The sequence below is a fragment of the Homo sapiens genome, chromosome 4, assembly GCF_000001405.40.
Source record: "Homo sapiens chromosome 4, GRCh38.p14 Primary Assembly".
Classification (NCBI taxonomy): Eukaryota; Metazoa; Chordata; class Mammalia; order Primates; family Hominidae; genus Homo; species Homo sapiens.
The window spans coordinates 188,342,347-188,350,281 of record NC_000004.12 but is presented as its reverse complement, the minus strand read 5'-3'; the positions used below and the strand labels follow the sequence as shown (position 1 = coordinate 188,350,281).

The following is a 7,935-nucleotide window of genomic DNA, read 5'->3' as shown; positions in this document are numbered from 1 at the left end:
CCTCTTGTAGTCCACCTTGTGCAGAAAGAGGGATGAACTTCCACAAGGAGAAACATGAGTTTTCAACTTCCTTTAAACATCTTGTTTGCAGACTGCATGACAAGCATTTAGAGGCCGTGAGTGTGCTTTCAACCAGACAGAAATGCCTTGCTTCAAGGGAAAACCGTGTGTGCTATCTAGTGCACCTACCAAAAGTCCATGGGAGCGAGAGTCTAGAAAGAAAGAAAAAGGGCGTCTCTCTCTTTCCGCCGCTCAAGATGCCGAAAGGAAAGAAGGCCAAGGGGAAGAAGGTGGCTCCGGCCCCTGCGGTCATGAAGAAGCAGGAGGCCAAGAAAGTGGTGAATCCCCTGTTTGAGAAAAGGCCTAAGAATTTTGGCATTGGACAGGACATCCAACCCAAAAGAGACCTCGCCCACCTTGTGAAACGGCCCTGCTATATCAGGTTGCAGCGGCAGAGAGCCATCCTCTGTAAGCGGCTGAAAGTGCCTCCTGCGATTGACCAGTTCGCCCAGGCCCTGGACTGCCAAACAGCTACTCAGCTGCTTAAGCTGGCCCACAAGTACAGACTAAAGACAAAGCAAGAGAAGGGGCAGAGGCTGTTGGCCCCAGCTGAGAAGAAAGCTGCCGGCAAAGGGGACGTCCCCACTAAGAGACCACCTGTCCTTCCAGCCGGAGTTAACACCGTCACCACCTTGGTGGAGAACATGAAAGCTCAGCTGGTGGTGATTGCACACGACGTGGATCCCATCGAGCTGGTTACCTTTCTGCCTGCCCTGTGTCGTAAAATGGGGGTCCCTTACTGCATTATCAAGGGGAAGGCAAGACTGGGATGTCTAGTCTACAGGAAGACCTGCACCAAAGCTCAAAAAGGCAAAGGCTAAAGAAATTCCCACTAAACTTGGTTAAATGTACACTGTTGAGTTTTCTGTACATAAAAATAATTAAAATAATACAAATTTTCCTTAAAAAGCTAAGGCACACCAAGCCCTAGGCATTCCACTGAGCTCCGACATAAGGATGCTCTTATAGTAACTGTAATTTACTGCATTGCAGTTATTTGTAAATCTGCAATTATATATGTCAATCTTTTCTTAGACTAAAATGCTTCTTAAGAGTGCAGGTTTTTGAGGCCGGGTGCGGTGGCTCACGCCTGTAATCCCAGCACTTTAGGAGGCCGAGGCAGGTGGATCATTAGGTCAGGAGTTCGTGACCAGCCTGGCCAACGTGGTGAAACCCCGTCTCTACTAAAAATCCAAAAATTAGCCGGGTGTGGTGGCGGGCACCTGTAATCCCAGCTACTTGGGAGGCTGCGGCAGGGAATTGCTTGAACCTGGGAGGTGGAGGTTGCAGTAAGCTGAGATCGTGCCACTGCACTCCATCCTGGGTGAGAGAGCAAGACTTCGTCTCAAAAAAAAAAAAAAAAAAAAAAAAAAAAAAAAGTTCATGCTTCGGACCCAGACGCCAAGTATTTGTATGTTAGGCCTGTCATTGTATTTGTTATGTTAGGCCTGTCATTGGCTATGAGGGAGATCAGGAAGATCTGTGCAAGCTACTTCCTATTTCTGTTCCTCTGTTTCCTCACCTTTAGATGGTCAATAACAGTAACTCCTTCATAGAGTTGTTGTGAGGATTAAAGGAATCAATACAAGTAAAGTATTTAATAACACCTAGCACACAATGAGCATTCAGTACATTTAGATAATATTCTCATATTTACTCAATTGCAAATTCTGTAAGTGCAGAATTATCATTTACAATTCTCTCTACTGCAGTGTTTAATACACTGTCTTGTACCAAGGAAACTAAACTGCCTTCCCTCTCTGCTTTACCTAACTCTGATTCATACTTCAGACTCAGAAAGACCTGTCCTGATTGCAGGGACACAGAAACCCCTTCTACATGTTCCAATAAGCACATGATGCCTGTCACACTTAACTTGATTACGAGTTTTTTTAATCTTCCTTACTAATGTATAAGCATCAGGATAAATCATTTATCTGTTGATTCACCATTGTATCATTATCAAATATCTTAGTGTCTAATACATGAGTGGTAGTCAATAAATATTTGTTGAATTATTGAAATCATTAAACAGAGCAGACCCAGTTGCCTAGATGCTAGTTGCTCGTATTCATAATTTTTTTATTTTTAGTTTTTGAATACATCATAGTCGTCCATATTTTGGGGTACATGTGAAATTTTGATATAAGCATACAACACATACAACACGTAATGATCAAATCAGGGTAATGGGATGCCCATCACCTCAAGCATTTATCATTTCTTTGTGTCAGAAACATTCCAATTCCCATCTTCTAGTTATTTTGAAATACACAATAAATTACTGTTAACTATGTTTACCCTATTGAGCTACTGAACATTACATCTTATTCCTTCTATCTAAATGTATTTTTGTACCTGTTAACAATTCTTTCTTCATCTCCCCCACCACTACCCTTCCAGACTCTGATAACCACAATTCTACTCTCTATTTCCGTAAGATCATTGTTTTACTTCCCAAACGTGAGTGGGAACATGCAATATTTGTCCTTCTGTGCCTGGCTTATTTCATCACTTCACATAATATCCTCCAGTTCCATTCACGTTGTTGTAAATGACATGATTTCATTCTTTTTATGGCTGAAGAATATTCCATTCTCTCTATATATGTACCACATTTCATTTACCCATTCGTCTGCTGATGGACACTTAGATTGATTCCACATCTTGGCTATTGTGAACAGTGCTGCAATAAACATGGAAATGCAGACACCTCTTCAATAGACTGATTGCTTTTCTTTTGTGTATATACCCGGTGGGATTGCTGGATCATATGGTAGGTCTATTTTTAGTTTTTTGAGGAACCTCCAAACCGTTCTCCATAGTGGTTGTACTAATTTAATTCCCACCAACAGTGTACAATGGTTCCCCTTTCTCCACATCCTTGCCAGCATCCCTTATTGCCTGTCTTTTTGATAAAAGCCATTTTAAGTGCGATGAGATGATAGCTCATGATTATTTTGATTTGAATTTCTCTGATGATTAGTGATGTTGAACTTTTTTTTAATACCTGTTGGCCATTTGTATCTCTTCTTTTGAGAAATGTCTGTTCAGATCTTTTGCCTATTTTAAAATCAGATTATTTGTTTTTTTGTTTTTGAGTTGTTTGGACTCCTTGTATATTCTGGTTACTAATCACTTGTCAGTTCGATAAACTGCAAATATTTTCTCCCGTTCTGTGGGCTGTCTCTTCACCTTGTTGATTGTTTCGTTTGCTAATTAAAAAAAAAAAAAGAATTAAGGCCAGGCACAGTGGTTCACGCCTGTAATCCCAGCACTTTTGGAGGCCGAGGCAGGCGGATCACGAGGTCAAGGGATCAAGACCAGCCTAGCCAACATGGTGAAACCCCGTCTCTACTAAAAATTCAAAAATTAGCTGGGCGTAGGGGCACATGCCTGTAATCCCAGCTACTTAGGAGGCTGAGGCAGAAGAATCACTTGAACCTGGGAGGCGGAGTTTGCAGTGAGCCAAGATCGCGCCACTGCACTTCAGCCTGGGGTACAGAGTGAGACTCTGGTCTCAAAAAAAAAAAATTAAAAAAGAAAACCTGACCTGTTAACTGAGTACATTTAAAGAGAAGCAGTGAGTAATTCATATTTGCACACTTAGCAATATTTTTTACGAATAGGAAAATTAGCCACTTTCATGTTATTAAGTATAAATCAGGAATGTGTATAAATGAAAGCAAACATCACTGTGAAACAAAAGCTCTAATCTCCACTTGTTCTGCCTTAAAGCCTTTTCCTTCAACTCTTGAAAAGCCCTTTCGTTTTTTCCCTCACCCTGATTGCAGGTAAAACATGACAATCAATCTTGCTTTGTGCTCCATCCTGTACTGGAAGCAGAAAGACTCCACCGTTCCTTTGATATCAGCCATCCCCTGAGATTACTCCTACTCAACAATGCGGCTCTTTCCTTGAGAACGGCCTTCAAAATCCTTATTCCTTTGTTAGTGATAATTCCTTGTACGATGTGATTTTTCTTAATGCTAGCTAGGATTGTGGTCTGGGTATTGCAGCATTTTGAAATTAAAATTGTGCTGAAGGGAGATTTATTTTCTCAACAGACATCTTTCTACAGTGGAAATACTTTTCGTTTTGAAAAATGAGTATATGACCTTATAAAGACTCAAAGTTAACACCAAAATACTAATTGCACAGACATTTCTCTGAGATTGATAGAGTGACCGTATTTTGTTAAGGTAAGAAATCCAGATAAAAGTACATGTTAACAACTCTACAATTATAGATAACTGTAAATACTGTGGTAATACTTTGAAATGTATACTGTATACCTGACTCTTATCTATTACAGTTTTATAAATAATACTGTATTATATACATAAAATGACAGTCAAGTTATGTTCTCTCAATAGGTTTAGCTTGTTGCTTCTCTGTTTATTTTCTATAAAATTGTTATTGATTTTTGTAATCATACCTTGATACAATCTAACTAAAAGAAATACAGTAAGTCACCGATTCTCCTGGACAAATAACTTCTCACTTGTGAAGTTTCTAGTCATCATTTCCTTAATTTTTTTTTCAGATCGATTTATTTTTATTTATTTATTTATTTATTTTTGAGATGGAGTCTTGCTCTGTCACCCAGACTGGAGTGCAGTGGCACGATCTCAGCTCACTGCATCCCCCTCCTCCTGGGTTCAAGCAGCCCTCCTGCCTCAGCCTCCTGAGTAGCTGGGATTACAGTTGCCCGCCACCACACCCAGCTAAGTTTTTGTATTTTTTGGTAGAAACGGGGTTTCACCATGTTGTCCAGGCTGGTCACAAACTCCTGACCTCAGGTGATCCACCCGTCTTGGCCTCCCAGAGTGCTGGGATTACAGGCCTGAGCCACCACACCGGCCAGATCTATTTTTTAAACAAAATGTTTAGTGCTTTTTAGAATTGATGGGACTCAGGGAACATTTTCTCGGGGCAATGGGGGCCACAGTGAAAGAACTATCTAAAATAATTTTAGCATCCACACCCGACTCCATTGTTTTTCAATGATACACATTCAAAAACATGTTGAGATAGAACAGTTCAAATCTTATACAATTTTTATAAGGAGAGAACTTCCTCCCCATGTTCCTACCGCTTCCTTTTGTCCCTCCTTATACCCTGGCCAGACCTTTTGCCTACAGAAATTATTTTTCCATTAGGTCAGTCGTTGGACCACATTTGCCAGTACATGGCCCAACCTGGTCTTACCGGGGAACCCAGGCCCTGCCCTGAGTCCCGTTGGTCCTCAGACTCCCTGCTGTAGCCTGGCCTGGCCTCTAAAGGTGGACTGCCAAGTGGAGGCTGTGCTGGAAATCCTCATCTCCCTCCACTCTTTCCAGCTTCTCAGCTAAGGCTGGGAGGGCAAATCAGGCCGCAGCCTCCTCCTCAGTCCAGCATCTTAGATGTAAGAGAGTGAAGAGGAAGCAAGAGTCCTCACGCAGGCCTCCTGGAAAAAGCCAGTTTTATTATTTATTTATTTTTATTTATTTTTTTTTTTTGAGACAGAGTCTCGCTCTGTTGCCAGGCTGGAGTGCAGTGGCTCGATCTCGGCTCACTACAACCTCCGCCTCCCAGGTTCAAGTGATTCTCCTGCCTCAGCCTCCCGAGTAGCTGGGACTACAGGCACCGGACACCACGCCCGGCTAATTTTTTGTATCTTTAGTAGAGACGGGGTTTCACCATATTAGCCAGGCTGGTCTCGAACTCCAAACCTCGTGATCCACCCGCCTCGGCCTCCCAGAGTGCTGGGATGACAGGCGTGAGCCACCGCGCCCGGCCAAAAGCCAGTTTTCAAATGCAGCTGGAACCAGAAGCGCTCTAGGGGCTCTGCTGAGGACGGGTCCAGCCAGAGAGACACTGGGTTTGATGTGTCGCTGAGTGTTGCTCTTTACACACGCAGCTCCTTCCATAGGAAACCCCAGGGAAAAGGAGGCTGGGTGGCAGGACTGGGGACAAAGCCCGCCCACTCCTACTTACTCTCTAAGAGTGAAACTGGAGCGCATGTCAGGGAATGGCTGGGCTTCCGTGGCCTCCCTTCAGACACAGGGACATCAGTCTTATAAAGACAATTCCAGATTCTCTTGTGTTAGTTCTGAAACTGCCTTAGTCCAAATTGCCTCAGAAACTAGGAAACTATGATATTCAGGTTAGAGTTTAGTGCTCATAGCCAAAATGAGTTGAAAAATAATAACGACAATAGTACAACATAGTGAACAATTTCTAGTGTAAAAAATTTTATGAAATTTTAAAAATAGGCTGGGCATGGTGGCTCACGCCTGTAATCCCAGCACTTTGGGAGGCCGAGGCGGGCAGATCACTTGAGGTCAGGAGTTTGAGACCAGCCTGGCCAACATGGTGAAAACCCGTCTCTACTTAAAAAAGGACAAAAATTAAAAAGAAATTTAAAAAATATATTTACGAGATAGCAATTATTATTACTCTGATTTTCCACGTTAAAAAAACAGCCTCAGGGAAATCAGCTTACCCAAAGGCAAATTCAAAATTCATGTTCTGAACTATTACATAATTTTCTGTCTCAATCAGATATTCTCTTAGAAGTCTATACTTCCCCGATAGTATCAATGCATGAAATTTTAACACAAAATGTATTCATCTGCCTCCCCCTAAAAAAATGGCAAAACAAAATAAAAGAAATGAAAAACAGGGGAGAGTAACACTTTAACACTTACCAATCATGTTTATCTCAAAGTGACAGATCATAACAAATCATAGACTAGATCCTGATAAAAGAGACTGCAATGTTTCTGTAGCATGTGAAGGATTGCAGAGCAAAAAAGACCTGTTCCGGACGATACACACTAAGTACTTCACAATTTTGCCTTATGCTAACCTTGCCTATAGGGACTTTTCTATTTTTTTTTTTTTTTTTTTTTTTTTTTTGAGACGGAGTCTCGCTCTGTTGCCCAGGCTGGAGTGCAGTGGCACAATCTCCGCTCACTGCAAGCTCCGCCTCCTGGGTTCAGGCCATTCTCCTGCCTCAGCCTCCCGAGTAGCTGGGACTACAGGCGCCCGCCACCATGCTCTGCTAATTTTTTCTATTTTTAGTAGAGACGGGGTTTCACCATGTTAGCCAGGATGGTCTCAATCTCCTGACCTCATGATCCGCCCACCTCAGCCTCCCAAAGTGCTGGGGTTACAGGCATGAGCCACGGTGCCCGGCCAGTTTCTTTTAATCTCACGCATGTCTTCTTTTTCTCCCTGTCCTCTGTCCTATTTGTGTTCCCTACAGTTCCTTCTTGCTCTCACTCTCTTCTCCCTCTTCATACTGCCCAACACACCTCATCAATGTTGAAACAAACTCAAACAACACATGTCTTTTTCCATCTTCCCTGTAACTACTATGCTCCACATTTCCTTAAATTCCCTTCTCCTGTCTGGTGTGGCCAAAAGAGAAAGAGAAGGGAAATATCACAGCATTCTACCACTGATGAGAAAACAGAAAAAGAAGTTCAAATATTTGTCTTTGGGTAAGCAGAGATATATATTCTCTTCCCGTCCTTATAAGAAAGTTGGTGCAGCTTCCTTGACATCTTGCCTTTACTGACATCAGAGAGTCCTTGATTCCTTATGAGGGTTACTGGCAGAAATGACCCTGATAGAAGCTATTTAAGTGACATGGTAACACAATTAGGATGCAAGTTATCTTTATGGAGGAAAACTTCTTCCAGAACCTGATATAGCATCTGTGTAACACAGTAAATGTCTGCTTGGAATCATACCAGGCTGAGTAGAAGCTCTAGAAAGCGCATAAACATCCCTCTTTCTCACATCCTTCTTTTCTTTCCCTTTCACACAGTGCCTAAGGGAGTGCGGTTTTCACAGTGAATTCTCAATAAACATATTTGAGGGTCT

The 7,935-nt window shown here is 42.2% G+C and overlaps 1 pseudogene; it reads left to right on the top strand.

The window, feature by feature from the left end:
* On the top strand, positions 235-964 carry RPL7AP27 (ribosomal protein L7a pseudogene 27; annotated as a pseudogene).